The sequence below is a fragment of the Homo sapiens genome, chromosome 6 (genome assembly GCF_000001405.40).
Source record: "Homo sapiens chromosome 6, GRCh38.p14 Primary Assembly".
Lineage (NCBI taxonomy): Eukaryota > Metazoa > Chordata > Mammalia > Primates > Hominidae > Homo > Homo sapiens.
Window position 1 is genome coordinate 151417273 of NC_000006.12, and position 22478 is coordinate 151439750.

The 22478-nt window shown below is 40.1% G+C and overlaps 1 protein-coding gene across 5 annotated transcripts in view; it reads right to left on the reverse strand.

Annotated features, from left to right (window-relative positions):
* Window positions 1-22478, reverse strand: part of RMND1 (required for meiotic nuclear division 1 homolog) — a 47365-nt gene that overhangs the window by 12511 nt on the left and 12376 nt on the right. For all 5 annotated transcript variants that reach the window (NM_001271937.2, XM_047418959.1, NM_017909.4 and 2 more), the window contains 8 exons: window positions 19174-19282; window positions 15883-15958; window positions 12866-12905; window positions 10210-10310; window positions 6253-6359; window positions 5269-5333; window positions 3973-4049; window positions 7-127 (listed from right to left, as the gene is read on the reverse strand). In NM_001271937.2, the coding sequence (NP_001258866.1) occupies window positions 7-127; window positions 3973-4049; window positions 5269-5333; window positions 6253-6359; window positions 10210-10310; window positions 12866-12905; window positions 15883-15958; window positions 19174-19276 (690 nt within the window). In that variant the 5' untranslated portion in view covers window positions 19277-19282. The remainder of the gene's footprint in view (window positions 1-6; window positions 128-3972; window positions 4050-5268; window positions 5334-6252; window positions 6360-10209; window positions 10311-12865; window positions 12906-15882; window positions 15959-19173; window positions 19283-22478) is intronic.

The window sequence follows — 22478 nt, forward strand, 5'->3', positions numbered from 1 at the left end:
ACGTACCTTAACTCTTCGGCCAATGCTAAGGAATTGACACGTTTTATCGTAAAGTCCTTCCAGGTTTTCTCTGTCCCAGTAGAAATCAGGAGTAATCAGGAAGTCTGAACTCAAGTTTATACGGTGCCTTTAAAAAGGAAAATTATAACTTTTTATTTATCTTGAATTAAAAATCATTGTTTCTATTGTATTTAATATTTACATAGTGCTTTATGAAAACTTTTTTTTTTTTGGTAAGAGAGAGGGTCTTGCTATGTTACCCGGGATGGAGTGCAGTGGTGTGATCACAACTCACTGCAAACTGAACTCCTGGGCTCAAGCTGTTCTCCTGCCTCAGCCTCCCATGTAGCTGGAACTACAGGCATGTGGCATTGCATGTGGCTGAAAACATTTGTTAATGCTGACCTTTGCAAAATACTGCCAACAAACATGTAAATAAAATTTACAAATGAGTTTCAAACTTCTGAACCAAATTAATTCAATCTTTAATACCAACATTATTTATGAAGTACACAGAAAAAAACTCATTTTGTTTTCAATTTTTTTTTTTTTTTTGAGACAGAGTCACTCTTGTCACCCAGGCTGGAGTACAATGGCATGATCTCAGCTCACTGCAACCTCTGCCTCCCAGATTTAAGCAATTCTCCTGCCTCAGCCTCCCAAGTAGCTGGGATTACAGGTGCCTACCATCACACCTGGCTAATTTTTTGTATTTTTAGTAAAGGGTTTTACCAAGTTGGCCAGGCTGGTCTCGAACTCCTGACCTCACGTGATCTGCCTACCTCAGCCTCCCAAAGTGCTGGGATTACAGGTGTGAGCCACCATTCCCAGCCTAAACTTTTTTTATTAAAAATTTTAGGGCCAGGCATGGTGGTTCATGCCTGTAATCCCAGCACTTTGGAAGGCCAAGGCGGGCAGATTGCTCGAGTCTGTGAGTTCAAGACCAACCTGGACAGCACAGCGAAACCCTATCTCTACAAAAAATACAAGAACTAGCCAGGTGTGGTGGTGTATGCCTGTAGTCCCAGCTACTTGGGAGGCTGAGGTGGGAGGATCATGTGAACCTCGGAGGCAGAGGCTGCAGTGAGCCAAGACTGTGACACTGTACTCCAGCCTAGGCAACATAGTGAGACCCCATCTCAAATAAAAAAAAAATTTAATATGTCCACACTTTTTTGTTTTTTATTTAAAAAATTTTTTTAGAGATAATGTCTTCATATGTCACCCAGTTTGGGGTGCAGTGACACAATCATAGCTTACCGCAGCCTCAAACTCCTGGGCTCAAGTGATCTTCCTGCCTCAGCCTCCTGAGCAGATCAAGATATAAACAGGTAAAAATTGATAAATCTTAACTCTTATTCTTATCTGTATCTTTCCCTATCAGTAATCCCTTCTAGTTTCCGCTGTATCCTTCCAGTGTTTATGCAAACACTAGACAAGCAAGCATAAACATACACACTCTCTCTCTTAATTTCTACATTTTAATATAAGAAGTCTGTGCTTACTTTTTTTTCTGAGACAGAGTTTTGTTCTTGTTGCCCAGGCTGGAGTGTATTGGCGCGATCTTGGCTCACCACAACCTCCACCTCTTGGGTTCAAGCAATTCTCCTGCCTCAGCCTCCCGAGTAGCTAGGATTACAGGCATGTGCCACCACGCCCGGCTAATTTTGTATTTTTAGTAAAGATGGGGTTTCTCCATGTTGGTCAGGCTGGTCTTGAACTCCTGACCTCAGATGATCCACTGGCCTCGGCCTCCCAAAGTGTTGGGATTACAGATGTGAGCCACCGTGCCCAGCCTTTTTCTTTTTTGAGACAGAATCTTGCTCTGTCGCCCAGGCTGGAGTGCAGTGGCATGATCCTGGCTCCACTGCAACCTTCGCCTCCTGGGTTCAACCAATTCTCATGCCTCAGCCTCCCAAGAAGCTGGGATTACAGGCGCACACCACCATTCCTGGCTAATTTTTGTATTTTTGGTAGAGATGGGGTTTCATCATGTTAGCCAGGCTGGTCTCGAGCTCCCAGCCTCAAGCAATCCACCTGTCTCAGCCTCCCAAAGTGCTGGCATTACAGGTGTGAGCCACCGTGCCTGGCCTTACACTTAGATGTTTAACTAAATAAAAATCTAAGTTATGAAAGTACACATAAACTGATGTGGTGGCTCACACCTGTAATCCCAGCACTTTGGGAGGCCTAGGGAGGAGGATTGCTTGAGCAAGGGTTTGAGACCCTGTCTCTACAAATTATTTTTAAAATTAGCTGGGTGTGGTGGAGCACTCCTGTGGTCCCAGCTACCCAGGAGGGTGAGGCAGGAGGAATCCCTGAGCCCAGGAGATCAAGGCTTTGGTGAGCTATGATCATGCCACTGCACTCTAGTCTGGGTGACAAGCAAGACCCTGTTTAAAAAAAAAAAAAAAAAAAGTAACACATACATACCTGTTCACGATTAAAAAAAAAAGGAAAATATCCTAGAGAAGGATTCAGAAAAATGGTAGGCTCTCTTATGCTACCACACTACTTAAATCCTTTATTCTCCCCAAGGACAGGCCTGTAGAGACACTTTGCTGTGTACTTCCAGATCTTTCTGTATTCATACATGCATGTGTGTGCAAGCAAACACATGTACATGTGTATGCATATAAAGATAAACATGAATATTTTTATTTGCTTACACAAATGGGATCATACCCTATATAAATTTAGATTTAGTTTTTTAATCTAATATTATCTGCCATGTTTATTTTCACAGATGTATCACATTCCTTATATTAACAAATAAGCATTTTTATTGTACAGGTAAGGAAACAGGATAGTAAAAGTAAGCCTTTATAGAAACTATTCACAAACCTACGTATATTTAGTCCTAACTATTCAGTTTGGATATTATAATTCACTACATCAATTTCTGCTTGCATGACCAAGAGAACAGGAGAGAAGAATCTCTCTACCCTACTTCTCAGAGAATTTGAGGCTTCAGATATGCTGCAGGATGCTCCTGATGGATGGGTTTTTAAGTTTTGTTGGTACCCTGAACTATAGGTCCTGAGCTATGAGAGATACACAGACAATGAAACACTGTATCACTTCTCTCCAGGCAGAGCATCTAAGGAGAATATGGAAAAACAAGTCTTAGGTGAACATTTGCAGTGAGCTCTGGTAACTCATTCCACATGCTAGAAGGGATAAACTGGACAATGCTGCCTGTGAGAAAAACACCAACATCCGGGATGTTTCATTCCGTAAATCCTGGGACAACTACAAGAATAATAAAAGCTGAAAACCTTTCCAGATACTTATTTAAAATGATTCATCAGTTTTTAGACATAGTTATTCCCATTTTAACATCTCGAGGCATCTTAAAATTAATGGTGTCTGACAGGTGGCACTTGAGACTTACTTGTCTTTGCCTTAAATAATTTATTTTCTTATGCTTTCCTTTTCATATATGCCCAAGAGGGAATGTGATATAATTTATATCCAGCTAAGATTAAAAGATATTTCAGTAAGTGTAAAATTTTAATCCTCTGATAAAAAAAGTATTGTCATAGTTTAACTGGCAGCAGTTTTTCTCTCCAGTGGCATCTTGGTGTCTCAGATTCAAAGAAACTTTTCTGTAGCAATTAAGCCTATTTAGCATTATGATGCAGTGATATATTTTTACAGAGAATTCCCATTAACCAAATTCAGGAATATGTCTTTCTACCTTCAAAGAACACCTACTGTGCTCCTTAATGTGGGTTTAATGTAGATGAATCGTGATCTCTTTTGCACATGCGTGATTTCTTTCAGTACAGTCTTAACACAGCCCAACTACTTCTAATGGGTAAGAGTTCTCCCTGCTTATAATCAATGAAATGAAAACAGCTACAGTTCCCATAAACGTGTAAATGTTTGCTCTTCACCACAGAACTATGGGAATGTTTTCTTGAGATTGTTAAATATATGAAATATTTTATTTAGAGAGAAAACTTTTACCTTAGAGCAAAGAGTTCACCGATTTTCTGCATAACTTCTTCATGAGATAGTTTCACTTTCTTCCCAGCTTTTAAAGCCTAGTTGAGAGGGAATCGGAAAAACCAAAAAACCATGTATCTCTCTTTCTAATAAGCATTAGGTCAACAGGGCAAAATCTGAAGTGGCATAATTTGGATCCTATGTAAATATTTTTTAGGATGGCTGTCTCCCAGATTAATGTCTTAACTCACCTTGAAATTTCATAATTTTATTAGGTAGAAATTGTATATTCTCTTTTTTCATTTCCCTTCTCATCAGCATTTTCAATGATATATACATTCCTAATCTCTTAGTAGAAAAGCAGGGCCTCCTTTCCGAAGTATAATTAGATTACTCTTTCACAATAAAGACACAGTTAATTACAATATGATGATTTTTAATGTATACTGAAATTTCAATATAACTTTATATGTATTTTTCATACCACTATTTTTCTCATAATTTAGCAAAACACTTTCTTAAATCAGGAAAAGTGGTCATAATTTCCATTCTCAGAGAGAAACATTTCACTTTTTTCTTTAATTCAGTTACATTAAAAATACTGCAACTGACGGGCATGGTGGCTCGTGGCCTGTAATGCTAGAACTTTGGGAGGCCGAGGCAGGAGGATCGCTTGAGCCCAGGAGTTCAAGACCAGCCTGGGCAACATGGCCAGACCCCATTTCAATTATATTAATATTAAAAAAAAAATACTGCACCAACAGAGGAAACAATTTGAAGTTTTAAAAAGTAAAAAGTAATCAATATGAAGTTTCTTAATTTGTCATTTTATATGTAACTGGGAGTTCTTAAGTTTACTGTAGTTTTCTTATTGTTTGTAATAATGTTGTTGTACTCCTAAACAATCGGCCCTCTATAAGTTCTGCAACTGCAGATTCAACCAACTGCAAATTGACAGTATTTTGAGAAAAAAGAATGGTTGCATCTGTACCGAACATGTACAAACTGTTTTTTCTTGTTATTATTTCCTAAATAATACAGTATAACAACTATTTACATAGTATTTACATTATATTAGGTATTTTAGGTAATCTAGAGATGGTTGAAAGTATACATGAGGATATGCATAGGTTATATGCAAATATATACCATTTTATATCAGGGATTTGGACACTGGTAGATTCTGGTATCCAGTGGGGTCTTGGAACAAATCTCCCATGGATACTGATGGATAGCTATATATTGTTATATTGGGAAATTCATATTTTTTACATATAAAAATCAATCCTTGAATAAGCATAAAATTGATATAATTACCTCAGGAATTGACTGAATAGATTCAATAAATTTATCCAGTGATGCTTCCCAAATTGCCAGTTTTACTGGGAAAAAAATTAATAATGGAACATTTCTTTATCATCATATTCACATGTATATAAAATACATAATTGCACAGCATCTTCACTACTATTTCAGTAATAGTTTAAGAAAAAGTACTAAAACCTTGAAAATATAATTTAAGAATAGTTAATTATCATAAAGGACAGAATTAAAGTGGATAGAGGAAACTGAATCGCTTTCCATGCCCTATTGGAAGACCAAAGCTACATTTAGTAGAACTCTTGATTTTCTAGTATTACATCTTGGAAACTGAGGAGGGTAGGGTACACCTTGATACCATGGGTAGCTCTGCAGATAGGGCGCGACTAAGACTTTCCTGGCCTCCCCTTCACTCCTCAGGACTAAGAGTAAACCTCAGAAATCTCCGAAGCCCCTCAGAGTGGGATGGACAGGACGCTGCAGCAGCCACCTAAGGTAGACTGCTGGCAAAAGAAATTCTTAAAGAACTTGTATAGTTTTATTCGGGATGTGGATCTTTCAGAACAAACTTATAGCCACTGTGACTCTGGGTCCCATTCCTATGGAACACTAGAGTATGTTTTTCTACACTGGGACCTGTGCCCAGTCACACAAGGCTGGGCTTCTCTGTCTGGATTAGAGACTATCTAAGAATAACAATCGCATAGAGAGAAGAGAAAAAAACAAAGGCTAATATAATCATCATCTAAAAAATACTTTTGGAGAGGTTAAGCTTTATTAATACAATTAATAAGGAATGAGTAACTTCAGCACAGTACTATCTTTTATACTAGATATTTTTTCTGATGGAGGGAAAAAAAGGAAAAGGAATGCTAAGGCTTTGTTGAGTATTCTGAAAATATACCAAAATCGTGACTATTTAAACTTCCCTCAGTGAAATGACAACTGTAGTACCCTATCCCATAAGCAGTAGTAACTTACCAGAAAGGCATAGAGCATTGGAGAAAGCAAACTTCTCTAGAATGGCATCATCTAAATCCAGCTCTGAATTTAACTTGATTTCCCCCCTGTGAAGTTTTGACTGTCCCCTGTGAAAAGCAAAAAGATAATACCTTCTAAATCTTAAAAAGCACTTTAACTTTTCCTTTGAAAAAGACACCATATCATCTTTCTGGAGGTCATTTTGACAATTTGTATCAAGAGTGTTACAAATGTTCTCATATCCTTTGGTCCAGGTAATTCCCTTTCTAGGAGTTTATCCTAAGGAAATAATCTAAGATGCAAAGAAAAATTTGTATACAAGAAAACTTTTTTTTTTTTTTTTGAGACAGTCTCACTCTGCCGCCCAGGCTAGAGTGCAGTGGTGCGATCTCAGCTCACTGCAACCTCAGTCTCCTAGGTTCAAGCGATTCTCCTGCCTCAGCCTCCCTAGTAGCTGGGATTACAGGCATGCGTAACCACACCCAGCTAATTTTTTTTGTATTTTTAATAGAGATAGAGTTTCACCATGTTGGCCAGGCTGGTCTTGAATTCCTGACCTCAAATGATCCACCCACCTCGGCCTCCCAAAGTGGTGCGACTACAGGTGCGAGCCACCTTGCCCAGCTGAAAACTTTTAAAAAAATGGTCAGTGTTGGCTGGGCACGGTGGCTCACGCCTGTAACCCCAGCACTCCGGGAGGCCGAGGCAGGTGGATCACGAGGTCAGGAGATTGAGACCATCCTGGCTAACATGGTGAAACCCCGTCTCTACTCAAAACACAAAATAAAATTAGCCGGGTGTGGTGGCGGGCGCCTGTAGTCCCAGCTACTCGGGAGGCTGAGGCAGGAGAATGGAGTGAACCCGGGAGGCGGAGCTTGCAGTAAGCCGAAATCACGCCACTGCACTCCAGCCTGGGAGACTGAGCAAGACTCTGTCTCCAAAAAAAAAAAAAAGGTCAGTGTTTAAGAGTAAAAAATTAGGAAATAAACCAAATGTTCAGTAGGGGTTGGCTCAGTAATAGTCACTCCACACAAGAAAAACTTAAAAGTGTGTTTTGGAAGGATAGTTAATAAAAAGGAGAACGTTCACAGTAAATTTCTATGTGAAAAAATGCTGCATATAAAACTATATATGGAGTGTAATCTAAAATCACACTGACATGATGGGGTTGGGGAGGGAGGCAAGGAAGTTGTGAAAAATGAGTATGTGACTGTGGAGAATCCTAGACAGGGGACAGGGGAAGAGCGGAATGTGTGAATATAAACATCACAAGCAAATGGAAAAAAGACAGGGTAAACCTTCACAAAAGATGTCAGACAAGAAGTGACGGCCAAAGGGAGGGGGACAAGGGGCCTGATGGAGGGCGGCATCTGCTATGACAGCCTCAGATGGAGGAAGGAAAGCAAAGACAGCAGTCACAAGAGGTCTTTTTTTTTGAGACGGAGTCTTGCTCTGTCACCCAGACTGGAGTGTAGTGGCGTGATCTTCGCTCACTGCAACCTCCGCCTCCTGGGTTCCAGCGATTCTCCTGCCTCAGCCTCCTGAGTAGCTGGGATTACAGGAGTGCACCACCACATCCAGCTAATTTTTATATTTGTAGTACAGACAGGGCTTCACCATGTTGGCCAGGCTGGTCTTGAACTCCTGACCTCAAGTGATCTGCCCGCCTTGGCCTCTCAAAGTGTTGGGATTACAGGCATGAGCCACTGTGCTTGGTCACAAGATGCTTTATGAGTAAACTGGGCCCATGCCACAGAGCTGAGCAGATCCCTGGAATCATGGCAGAACTCACATAATAACCATGTAGGTGGCAGCCAGGACAGTCTTTCTGACGAAACAAAATAACTGACTCTGGGATCCTAAGCACTGAGGATTTTACTCCTCACAGACTGTACAGTAACGTGTGTGTGTGTGTGTGGATAAGCGTACACACACACACACACAAGGGTCTAGCAGTAGTTGGATATGGAAGTATTTGGTTGGTGCAAAAGTAATCGCGGTTTTTGCCATTTTAATGTAAACCTAATAGAACACAGAAAGGGGATTCACAGGAGCTGTATCTGCAGGCCAAGGGCTGAGTAACTACTAAAGATAATAAAACTACAGGCTGCTCATTTGCTGTCTCTCTCAGGTTTATATCCTTACCTCTGACTGCAGCCACCACTGGGCTCAGGCTGACTCACAGTCAGGTGCCCTTTGGCAAGACAGGATTCAATAAATCTCATCGGAAAGCCAGTTAGCTGCAATTATAGGGTTTTCCCCAGGATTAAATGAAATAATACATGGAAGGCACTTACTTAGAAAACCGTGACTGGCCCTATTGGTGGTGAGCGCTGATTACTCAGCTCTTATCCCCATCTGGTCTTTCTATAGCTAGTCTCTGTCTCTCTTCCAAGTCTTCCCAAAGCTCTGCTTTTAACGCTTTTTTTTTTTTTTTGAGACAGAGTCTCACTCTGTTGCACAGGCTGGAGTGCAGTGGTGCGATCTCAGGTCATGGCAACCTCTGCCTCCCAGGTTCAAGCAATTCTCTGCCTCCGCCTCCGCCTCCCAAGTAGCTGGGATCACAGACACTCGCCACTATGCCCGGGTAATTTTTGTATTTTTAGTAGAGATGGGGTTTCGCCATGTTGGCCAAGCTGTCTTGAACTCCTGACTCAGTTGATCCTCCCACCCTGGCCTCCCAAAGTGCTGAGATTACAGGTGTGAGCCACCAAATCTGGCTAACACTACCTTTCTTAAGAACCTGCAAAGACTCATATTTCACTAGACAGGTAACTCCATGAGGAAAAAGACACTACCATCTTGTTCATACTGCCTCTGTCTCGGCCCTAACATCTCTTCATTTTTTCCCTCTGGCTGAGTCAGGAAAATCAGCTAGTCTGTTGCCTACCCATTTATCTTAGTGAAACTGGTACACCAGGTCCCACTTCTTCCAGCACCCACACTTCTACAAGTGGGTCTCTTAGATTGACCCCTCACTATACTTCCTTTTCATACCCCCACCCCCCAAAATCAATAGGAAAAAACTGGATTAAGAGAAAAATTTACTGGAATAATTTGATAGGTTCATTTGATAAATGCATACTATTTTATTGGATTAGGCTGATTAGAAACTTAACATTTCCATTTTGGGGCTATACTACTGACTTGTTTTAACTTGTGGATAGCCTGAGAAGTTCAAAAAATTATGTTTATCTTCTAATATTTATTATATGGTTTAGACTTTGTATTTGTACCAGTAATCTTTTTCCTCTTTTTTTTTGAGACGGAGTTTCACTCTTGTCACCCTGGCTGGAGTGCAATGGCGTGATCTCGGCTCACTGCAACCTCCGCCTCCCAGGTTCAAGCAATTCTCCTGTCTCAGCCTCCCGAGTAGCTGGGATTACAAGCACCCGCCACCATAACCAGCTAATTTTTGTATTTTTTAGTAGAGATGGGGTTTCACCATGTTGGCCAGGCTGGTCCTGAACTCCTGACCTCAGGTAATCCACCTGCCTCAGCCTCCCAAAGTGCTGGGATTACAGGTGTGAGCTACCACGCCTGGCCACTTTTTTCTTAAAAGTAAGTTTCCAGGCCAGGTCCAGTGGCTCACGCCTGTAATCCCAGCACTTTGAGAGGCTGAGGTGGGCGGATCACCAGGTCGAGATCCAGACCATCCTGGCCAACATGGTGAAACCCTGTCTCTACTAAAAATACAAAAAATTAGCTGGGCGTGGTGGTGCACACCTGTAGTCCCACTTACTCAGGAGGCTGAGGCAGGAGAATTGCTTGAACCCGGGAGGCAGAGGTTGCAGTGAGCCGAGATTGTGCCACTGCACTCCATCCTGGGCGACAGAGTGAGACTCCGTCTCAAAAAAAAAAAAAAAGTTTCCATATGCATAATAATTTGTCTCCTCTATTGCTTTACCTAATTTATTCCAAGTGCCCCTTTCATAAATTTGATGAAAAGTTGCTTACTCTATTTTTATGTAGTTAAGTTCTTCATTTTCCCAGTGTACCAGTGCGATTTCATAGGGCTGAATTTCATGTTTTTCTAGAACTTTCATCACATGCTTCATCTAGAAGAAAAGGAAGATTAATCTGAAATCATAACTGACTCCCTCAGTTCAAGTATGTTATGATTTTAATGCTTATAACAGTCTTCATTACACTTACAGGCATTATTTCTGTTGCATGTTTTTAAGGAAAAGGCAAATCAAATCCATTGTGATATTAAAGTAATCAGGATGACATGTTCATTTGTTTTTACATTTGGAAAACACAGATGAGAATGGAGAAGAAAATCAAGGTTATCATTATCCCACAACCCAAGGAAAATCACTAGTAATATTATAATTTGTATTCTTTAAATCTCTTTAATAATCCCAGCATTTTGGGAGGCAGAGGCGGGTGGATCCTTGAGCTCAAAAGTTCAAGACCAGCCTGGGCAACGTGGCAAAATCCTGTCTCTACAAAAAAATACAAAAATTATCTGGGTGTGGTGATGTACACCTGTAGTCCCAGCTACCTGAGAGGCTGGCTTGAGCCTGGGAGGTGGCGGTTGCAGTGAGCCAATGTCAGCCGGTGTGACAGAGCAAGACCCTATCTCAAAAAAATAAATAAATAAAAAATAAAAAGTAAAGCCCAACATACTAATAAAAAATTAAGCCACACAGGTGTGGGAGGTGATCATCTCTTTCTCTCTTCTGTACTGAAATCCTAATCCCCAGAGGCAACCATGATTAAACTTGGTGCATATCCTTCCAGACTTTTTATGTGTATATATGTACATATTTATGCTGCTTTTTATGTAAAATAGGATCATATTATGCACATGACATTTTCAACACTATTTTCCTTTACAGACGAACTGCAATTTATTTAACCAACCTAGGTGTGTCCTCCATGGGGAATTTTTTCTACTCTCCATTACAATGTTGCGATGTGCCACACTTGTGCAAAGGTCTTCATGGCTTTGTGGGAATACTTCTTTAGGAATTGCTAGATCAAAAGATATGTGGACTTACACAATATGTATATATGTAACAGACAGGGTCTCACCTTGTCACCCAGGCTGGAGTGCAGTGATGCAATCATAGCTCATTGCAGCCTCAAACTCCTGGGTTCGAGCGATCCCCCTGCCTTAGCCTCCCAAGTAGCTGGGACTACAGGTACACACTACCACACCTGGCTAACTTCTAAAAACTTTTTGTAGAGATGGGATCTCACTGTGTTGTTCAGGCTGGTCTGGAACTCCTGAGCTTAAGTGATCCTCCCACCCCAGACTCCCAAAGTGATACGATTACAGGTATGAGTTACCACACCTGGCCCACACTTATAATATTGCTAGCCTGCTCTCCAAAGTAGTTTTTCCAAATGTAGAATCTCAACATTTATGAAACTACTCTTAAGAAATGGGGTTTATCAGCCTTTTACATCTTTGCAACTTCAAATAGCCAACTTGTATTTTCTTAAATTTATTGGTCATTTATATTTTCTTTTCTCTAAGTTCCCTTCCCGACCACCTACTGTGTGTGTTTCCTTTTCGTAAAATTGGGATTGTATAAAGCATGTTTTTTAACCAGTTCTGAGATTATATTGGTTATATTTTGTAACCCGCTTTTTTTTTTTTTTGAAGACAAGAGTATGCCTCTGTCTCCCAGGCTGGAGTGCAATGGTCTGACCTTGGCTCACTGCAACCTCTGCCTCCAAGGTTTAAGCGATTCTTGTGCCTCAGCTACCCGAGTAGCTGGGATTACAGGTGTGCACCACCACGCCCAGCTAATTTTTGTATTTTTAGTAGACATGGGGTTCACCATGTTGGCCAGGCTGGTCTCGAACTCCTGGCCTCAAGATACCTGCCGGCCTTGGTCTCCCAAAGTGCTGGGATTACAGGCGTGAGCCACCATGCCTGGCCGTATAATCTGCTCTTTTAATGTAACTGTATTATATATATAGGCAATCTCCCAGAAATAGATATTTTTTTACATGATTTCTAAGGGGATCTATAGTATATCTGTAGTATATGGATGATTTAACAAACTATTATTGTGTATTTTGGTAATTTCTAATTTTTGCCATTATAAATATTGCTCTGATGAACATTTTTGTACAAAAATCATCACGAATAGTTATGATTATTTCCTTTGGATAAATTTCTAGGTGTAAAATTACTGGGTTAAATATAAAGCTTTAATGTAGATTACCAATTTGCCTCTAAAATGGTTGTATTAAACAAATCTTGATTTGGATCTTGAAAAAATTATTTCCCATGAGTAGTAAGTTCTAGACAACTTGACTTAAAAGAACACTCAATGCAACCAGCTTCCAATTAACTGCATACATTTTGTATAGTACAACATGCAAAGTCTACAGTACTTCTGTCTGCAGTATAGTTAGGATGGTTCTGATTCTCCACAAATTAGTGTGTGTCTAGAGAAAGGAAAAAGCAGGAAATCTTAACCCAAAATACAATATATTTTGGAAGATGAAACTGATAAGTATCATGTAATGCAGAGCAAATAAGTTGTGCATAATCTATTAATTTCCCTTCTAATGTTTCAGTATGTGCTAATTAACAATTCATTCTCACAAAACTAAATTTTTATATTTTCACATTTTTATTTACACTTACAGTTTTGTCTTTCACATTCCAAAACACAGCAGCTCCTTCCCTGATTTAAAAAAATAAAAGAAACAACTAAGATACAGATGGAATACATTCTTTAGGGTCGTATATAAAACCATGTAACTTCTAGAATGTATACAGGATGCGATTTTTCAAAATATGATGGTACTTACTAATTTGATATTATGGTCCTTAGGTGAACTTCCTACAATAAGAGCTAAAATAAAATTCTTGATAAAACCTGACCTCCTCAAAATTTATGATTTCTCACATGGTTTGCCAAACAAATAGCCATTATTGTAATACTATATAACTTCACGTATGTAGACTCTTTCATACCTGGTTCAATTCTGATCCACAGAAATCAGAATAAGGAAATTTTTTGAGACCTTGTCTTAGCTCTCATTAGGCAGACTCTACTATGTGCAAGGAATAAAGGGCTATGCCTGGATTTTTGTGGAATAAAGAGATGGTGGTTAATTTAAGCATCAGATGGTTAAAGGCCTCTATGGAATAATGCTCCCCACGCTCACAGTGCTTGGAACAGAACTACAGTGACACCACAGGAGGCCCTCTGAATCCGATTATGGCTTTAACATTATTTAGGGTCTAAAACTACGAATGCATTTGTTTTGATTTCTCAAGTTTGACGTGTTGAAGCTGTTTCAGGTAGTAAATAAAAACAGGAGCTATAGCTCAGGGTCAGTGCACTGGAGGAAGGAAAGGAGGAAATAAAAGAAAGGTAAAAATATTAATGGCTCCACGTTATTCTTGAAACATTTCTAAAGTACTTAGTATATGTGTGGGTCCATGCTTAGTATTTGTGATAGAAACATAAGTATGATTTCATTCCTATCCTCAATCTAGAAAAGACTGGGACTGACACTTAGACCACCAATTACAATAGTGTGTGATCAGTGCTACAAGAGTATGCAGAGTATACCATGAGATGTACACCAGAGGGACCCCTTTGCTAAAGGACTAGCAGAGGCAGCCAAATGAGAAAACAAGAGGAGACAACATAGCAGAGGGGACACACAGGCTCAGAGAGGAGGTGGGACGGAGCAGAGCAGCATCTCAGAATAAACAGCCAGTAGCTGCGTGGCTGCAGATGTGGTCAAGCAGTGGGCAAGCAGGATAAAGAGGCAAGCAGGGGACAATCCAGAAGGGAACTTTATGCAGTGATAGAGAATTTGTTCATAGTCCGTGGAAATTTAGGCAGGAGAGTGTAGTGGTCAGAAATGGCCACTGAAGAATGACCCTGCTTACAATAGACAAACAGACTGGTGGTGGGTGAGCAGGCAGGCAGGGAGACAATAAGCTGTTACAATAGGCAGGGATAAGGTTTCAGGATACGGATTTGAGAGGTATTTCAAGCCACAGCCACAGTATCAGTTCAGAGAATCCCTTCCAGGCAGAAGAGAGGTCTGGTGAACTGCATATTCCTCCAACCAGAGGAATGCACTGTGCTGTGCAATGTGGTACTCAGAGGCCACATGTGGCTATTGAGTGCTTGAAACATGCCTGGTGCAAACTGAGATGCGCTGTAAGTGTACAATACACAGCAAAATTCAAAGACTTAGTATGACAAGTGAAAAAATATCATTATTAATTACATGTTGAAATGATAATATTTTAGATATGCTGGGTTGAATAAAATACATTGTTAAATTAATTTCATGTTAATATGTTAAGAAACATATTTGTGTTGTTCAAAATTAATTTTATCTTTTTAAAAATATTTAAAATGTGGTTACTGGAAAATGTATCATTACATATGAGGCTTGCATTATATTTCTTTCTTTCTTTTTTTTTTTTTCTTTGAGGCAGAGTCTCACTCTGTCACTAGGCTGGAGTGCAATGGCACGATCTCAGCTGACCACAACCATCGCCTCCCGCATTCAAGTGAATCTCCTGCCTCAGCCTCCTGAGTAGCTGGGATTACAGGCACCCTCCACCATGTGCCTGGCTAATTTTTTGTATTTTTAGTAGAGACAGGGTTTCACCATGTTGGCCAGGCTGGTCTCAAACTCCTGACCTTGTGATCTGCCTGCCTCAGCCTCCCAAAGTGCTGGGATTACAGGCATAAGCCACCGTGCCCAGCCGAGGCTTGCACTGTATTTCTGCTAGACAGTGCTGATGTAGAGTCCCTCACAAATCTAAATTCCTCACTCGGAACAACAGGGATGCTATTACTCTACTTGAATTAAATGTTGGAATCTTGATTCTCTCTAAAGATGGGGTCAAAAGGAAGGTAGGCATTGAAAGGAAAAAAGAACTTCCACTTATCATCAACTATAAGGATTATGACCACAAGAACTTTACTCAACTTTGGATTCCTACAGATGGTCCATGTGTTTCTGTTCTGTCACGTATTAGTCTCATGACTATGGGTAACTCAATCCCTATGACCCTCAGTTTCCTCAGGTGCAAAATAGACCTTCATCGGTGTGCTGAGGATAAATGAGATTATTTCACACGGTTCTATCATGTTATCATTCCCAGGCAGCTACTGTGGAGTATTTAGTATTGAGTCGGCCTTTAGATAAAAGGAATAAGTGTGTATGTGAGTCTCCTAGTCTAAAACCTCTGGAGAGGTAAGCTAAAACTTTAAAGAGCTACCAAAGGGGAAGGGAGAAAAAAAAGAAAATGGCAAGAAGAGACAGCAGGGAGGTAGCGGGAGTTTCCCTGGGGCAGGAGTCTGACAAGGGGCACTAAAGATGAATGGGAAATTGGCTGCTTTCCAGAAATTTAGTCCATGAAAATCCGAATTTACAAAGAAAGACACCCCGGGGAAGATCATTCACTTGTTTGAAATATTCTTTACTTTATAAGAGGGTTTACCAGAGAATTCCTAAAAGTGACAAACTCTCCTAGATTAAATAAGAATTAAATGATAAATTTAAATCACAAATACATTTTGAACACATTTACTGTTAAGAAAGGTATGCCTGCACCTTTAAAGACCACAATTACTTGACCCAAACCCATCATCACCTAATGGGGTTTCTTTCCTGTCTTACCTGAAGAAGAATATTGTTCCAGGATCACCTTCTTTTGCAGAATTTTCCACACCCATCACCAAAATATTTGCTGCATCTGTGATTTAAAATAAACGAACAAAAAAGCTATGTCAAGGTAACACAAGTTGTAAGAGTCACCTATAAACACTGTAATAAAGTACTTAAGATCATTTCTTTATATACCATGGAGTGCTCTGTAACACAATCACCATCTTTCTACTAAGGCCTCTGAAAGGATTTAATATATAAAAATGCAAATACGACCACCAAAAAAAGATCAGCAATTACTTTTATAAAACATTCAACAACCTGTGATATTAATATTAGAGCTCATTCATGCCCATTTTGATTCAATAATCACTAGTCCAGATAATTAATAAAGTCTTAGGTTCCATACAACTAAGTGTCAAGAATTAAACTTCTTTCTACAAAATTAAAAATAAAATTTGAAGAAGTATTAATATATTCTCTTCCTATAAATACCATTTCATTAATAATGCAATTTTAACATTCCCAAACTACTACTCCTGCTGAATTTTAAAGTATAAAAAGTAGGGCAATAGAAAATACACAGAAATAAAGATACTGACCACTTCAAAACATATGTGATTTCAAGGTTAATCACTACAGGGGCTACCACTGCAGCCACCTGCAACTATTTAAAAAAAAAGTTTTTTTTTTGTTTGTTTGTTTTTTTTGAGACAGGGTCTTGCTCTGTCTCCCAGGCTGAAGCGCAGTGCCATGATCTCAGCTCAATGCAGCCTCAACCTCCTGAACTCAAGGGACCCCCCCCCGCCCCACCCACCTCAGCCTCCCAAGTAGCTTAGACTACAGGCATGTGCCACCGCACCTGGCTAAGTTTTTGTTTATGTTTTGTAGAGATGAGGTCTCACTATGTTGCCCAGGCTGGTCGTGAACTCCTCAGCTCAAGCCATCTGCCTGCCTTGGCCTCCCAAAGTGCATTACAAGCATGAGCCACGGGGCCTGGCCTAAGTATTGTTAAAACATATACTAATATACCAATATTCATCATAAGAAGTTGCTTTATATATTAGTATAGTGATATTTATCATAAGCATATATTCCATAATATAAATTACAACCAATGTTAATATATCAATTAAAAAATATACTATTAATTTGCAAAAGGTTGTATGTCTTAACGGAATTAACATAAAATTAGGATCCTCAAAGCTTCAGAAATTTCTGGTAAAGGCTGGGTGATGGGCAATTCAGACACAGACCAAAACTGTGATTTTTTTTTTTTTTCTAAATTGTTAATTACTACATCCTACATAGGACAGAGTTTGCCTACACAGCCAAAAGCAAAATAAAATCGACTGAAACAACCCAGGGCAGTGAAGCCTGCAATTCTGTGAAGCACAGACCACACAGCTGGCAGCCTTCAGCATCAGCCAACAATACCTCCAGGCAAATTTTCATACCAAGGGGCTCTAGACATAGCTCTGTCTTTCTAAGTCAACTATGCTTGTTTTTGTCACCTAATCACACAAACGGTCTGTTTGGATTATCACAATGATATTTCAACTATCTTCTATGGGATTGAGTCTTAAGAATTTCCACTGTTATAGGAAGGCTTTCAACCTATTTTTGCTACTCTTAGGTAAATTAATAAATGTTCTGGGTATTGAGCTATCCTGAGTTTCACTGTAAAAGTTTATCAAAATGTTCTAAGTAACTTATTTATTTTTGAGACAGAGTCTCGCTCTGTCACCCAGGCTGGAGTGCAGTGGCACGATCTTGGCTCATTGCAACCTCCACCTCCCAGGTTCAAGTGATTGTCCTGCCTCAGCCTCCTGAGTAGCTGGGATTACAGGCACGTACCACCACGCCCAGCTAATTTTTGTATTTTTAGTAAAGGTGGGGTTTCACCATGTTGGACAGGCTGGTCTGAAACTCCTGACCTCAGGTGATCTGCCTGTCTCAGTCTCCCAGAGTGCAGGATTACAGGTATGAGGCATCACGCCCGGCCTATTTATTTATTTTTTAAGACAGAGTCTCACTCTGTCGCCCAGGTTGGAGTGCAGTGGCATGATCTCAGCTCACTGCAACCTCCACCCTCCAGGTTCAAGCAATTCTTGTGTCTCAGTCTCCCAAGTAGCTGGGACTACAGGCTCGTGCCACCATACCTGGCTAATTTTTGTATTTTTAGTAGAGATGGGGTTTCACCATGTTGGCCAGGCTGGTCTCGAACTCCTGACCTCAAATGATCCACCCACCTCAGCCTCCCAAAGTGCTGGGATTACAGGCCTGAGCCACCATGGCTGGCCTAAATTATTTTTAATTAATGTAAAGCAAGCCATTTCTCAAGAATCCTTCCTGATTTCACCATAAAAATCCTCAATTAAGTTCATTTTAATTTTCTTCTTTTTCATTTTTATCTTCTAACTAATCGTTTTATTATTATTATTATTTGTATTTTTAGTAGAGACAGGGGTTTCTCTATGTTGGTCAGGTTGGTCTCAAACTCCCAACCTCAGGTGATCTGCCCGCCTCGGCCTCCCAAAGTGCTGCAATTACAGGCGTGAGCTACTGCACCCGGCTAACTAATTGTTTTAAAGTATTAGATTGAGCTGGTAAATTTTTTTTTTAAAGGCTCTCCCCATGTCTATCAACTTCATGGTTCTTCTATAAGACTAAAATAACGGGCTGGGTGTGGTGGCTCAAACCTGTAATCCCAGCACTTTGGGAGGCCGAGGCGGGAGGATTAGATGAGGTTGGGAGTTCGAGGCCAGCCTGACCAACATGGAGAAACACCATCTCTACTAAAAATACAAAAATTAGCCAGGTGTGGTGGCGCATGCCTGTAATCCTAGCTACTCCGGAGGCTGAGGCAGGAAAATCGCTTGAACCTGGGAGGCGGAAGTTGTAGTGAGCTGAGATCGCGCCATTGCACTCCAGCCTGGGCAACAAGAGTGAAACTCCATCCCAAAAAACAAAAAAAAAAAAAACACAAAACACACACAGACACACACAAACTAAAATAACTTCTTAATGTGCTAGAAATGAAGTAGTATGACCTCTGACCACCTCAAGTAATAATGATCCTATAAATAATCTTAATAAATCATACTGATTTTAATGAGTTCTCTGTAAATACATTTTAATTCTTAACTTTGTCATCTTTATAAAGAGATTCAACATCCACTTTTATGATACAATCCTTTCAAAAGAAAATGAATTGCAAACAAATACATACTTAAGATAGTATCATAGGAAAATTATCCAATACATTTTAACATACTTGGCCCCAGGTTCAAGAAGAAGTACCTCTAGGCAAGCTTGTTACTTCAACATATCCGTGGGAGGCCAGATCTTGAGACAGATTTCCCAGATGATACTCATCTGCCGTTGCAAATGCTGTGCAGTGCATTAGGTCCTGTTCCAGGGAAATGAGCATAACATGGGTTACCAAGAGGCTGAAGCATCTGTGACGGCTGCTGAGCACCCTACTGGACTCCATTCTGCAAAGCTAGAACTCCAGAATTTTCTTCAAACATCTCCAAGGGTGATACAAGGGATGGGATGAAGATGAAGAGAATGAAGTTACTGGGAGGCAAATTTCAGCTCAATCTTGAAAAGAACTTGCTCCCTCCCGCCAGGCAAAAAGATGGAATGGATTATTCTGAAAGGGAAGCCACACTCAACTGGTAGTATCTCAAGCACAGATTGAATGCAAAATAGAGATGATTAAGGCATCACATGGGTGACTGGATGGAATGTTTAAGTCTCTCCAACCCTGAGTTTCCATGACTCTTTTTCAAAGCAACATTAGTATTTGAGGTCATTTCCTAATTTGTAACTACTCTTGTACAGGCAGATTCCTTTAAATCCCCAAAGGAATTACAGTATTTTTACACTGGTTAACATTTAACAAAAAGGTCTGTAAATCTGAGCATGTGTCTTGGTTTGGTTTGTACTTTGTCTCATGCCCCATCTTGCCTTTGCACACATGAGGAAAGTCATCTTGTGTCTATATAAAATACAGATGGTAAGCACTATGGCTCAATGCTGTGTTTTTTCAAACTGTAAGTCACAACACATTAGTGAGTTCTGATACCAATTTAGTTGGCCCAAAACAGCTTTTTTAATAAAACTAAATAGAAAATATTACAGTGCATTATTCACAGGAAATGCTATTTTATGAAGTTTTCTGTCACTTACATGTATCTATGTATCTACTCTAGGTCGCTATGTATGTAAAATGTTAAATATATTTCTCACTATAAGATGTGGTCAATAAAGTTTGAAAGCTATTGGCATAAGAGTTAAGATTTTAGGCACAGAAGTTGGTTACAATTTTAAAAGAGTATCAGAATAACAATAATGCCTACTTTATGGGGTTGTTGTAAAGTTTAAATAAGCTAATAAACAAAGTGCTCAGGACTGTGGCTAACACAACTGTTCAGTAGTTGTTAGATTCTAGTTGGCCAAAACAAGTTTATGAGTCACTAAATCAACATTTATTCTTAGGATTTACTCCTCTCAGCTCCCCAATTCTTTCCCATTCTGTATATTCCTGGTATGAAATTCTAGAGAAGTATATATTAATTCATTCCTTCCTCCCACCTCCATTCTGTATCTCCTGGCTCTTTCTCATGAAATGGCCTGACCCCATTTGCCCTTCCTCAATCTGTTCCACAGCTCTGATGCGTGGTTTAAAGGTAGAGGAATAACAGAGAACCTGAGGATCCATGCAAACTGAAAAATCCAAAATCAATAAAGTATCTACTCATAAACAAAATGAGACTAATCCAATTAGAAAAAAAGTCAGACAAGCTGAAATTACTGGGGAATGTGGGGATAAATGGATGTAGTACCCTAATTATGAGCAGATAACTGCTAATTCCTTCCAAATTAGCTAATTCCCATAGTCACATATGAAAGTAGGAACACGGGGATATACAAATAAAAATGTATCAGGAGTTACCAGAGTACAGGGAACAGGCACGTGCTTAAGGTTTAGACCTGTGAGCACTAGTTCTTTTTAAGGCTTCATGGAGTTAAAACTAGCTGATGTACGATGTGTGTAAAGATTCGGCCAGCTGAAAGAAAGGAATCCTAGCAAGGGGCATCAGGCGAGACATCGGGTAGGCTCCACTCTGCAAGACCTGGCAAATTCACTCAAGCTTGCTAGGTGAAATCACAGTACATTAGGTTGGATGTCAGAATTACTTCTGTGATGGCTACAGCTCATGTGCTTAGTTTGGGCTGAAGTGGGAAGAGCAAGAGGCACAAAAAGGAGATAAGCAGGTCACAAGCTAGTCCACTGAAGGATCTTCCTGTAGCTGTACTGAAAATGGCAGAGGCTGTCTCTTTTGCTAGAATCGGAGTTGTAAACTGGCAGCTCGGAGAACCATCCAACTCAAGAGTTGACCTACATCACGTTTCTAAAATTCAAATTGACTTGTCAACAATAAACTGAGAGATTTCACACAAAATCCAGATTTCCATCATCATCTGACCGAGTGGAAGATCTGGCTATAATAATGGACTAGGATAGAGTAGGGGGGCCCAGGGTCTCCAGCCCACACTGTCCCTGCCTCTCCCTGTTGTCTCACGTCTGCTTCACCATCATGTGGTACTGGCCAAGCCCATCTGCACTAAGAATGTGTACTACTTTTTTTTTTTTTTCCAAAAAAAACCCAAAAACCTTGGCAAGGCCCAATGACTCACGTCTGTAATCCCAGAACTTTGGGAGGCTGAGGCGGATGGATCACTTGAGGTCAGGAGTTCGAGACGAGCCTGGTCAACGTGGTGAAACCCTGGCTCTATTAAAAATACAAAAATTAGCCAGGCGTGGTGGCACACACCTGTAATCCCAGCTACTTGGGAGGCCAAGGCAGGAGAATCCCTTGAATCCAGGAGGCCGAGGTTGCAGTGAGCCAAAATTGCACCACTGCACTCTGGGCGACACAGCAAGACTCCGTTTCAAACAAAAACAAAACCAAAACACAACTTTATGTTCCTTTATTGGAGCAAGATTCTAGATTGATATACAGTGATGTATTAACTAAACAGAGACCTGTGCAGAAATTACATACTATCTATGTAGACAGGTTGTTATACTTCGCCTATTGATGGAATAGTTCCATTTATCAAGTTTTATACATCAAAAAGCTTTGAATTTCACCAGGCTCTCCATTAATTCACCTCTGAAAAAGTGGCATTTAATTTCAGCTACTATAGTTTACAGCATAAAAAGCTTATGCATGAGAGTGCTTCTCTGCACAGTGGCATGTTGCAGACAGAGCTGAGTCCATTATCCCACCCGGATTTACATTTGAGAGCTTTATACCAGAGAGCCAGGACAAAATTACTCCTAACCAACACAGACTTCTTACTCTCAGAGCCTATCTTCTTGGCTATATTTTATAGTGCCAGTGAAGACATGCTGGCAACTGTCCCATATACAGCTTGGCATTAGAGTACAAGGTCTGTTAATGGCGGTGGCAGGCATTATTATTTTATTCTGTTTTTTACTTTATTATTATTATATTTTTGAGACAGTTTCACTCTTGTTGCCCAGGCTGGAGTGCAATGGTGCAATCTTGGCTCATCACAACCTCTGCCTC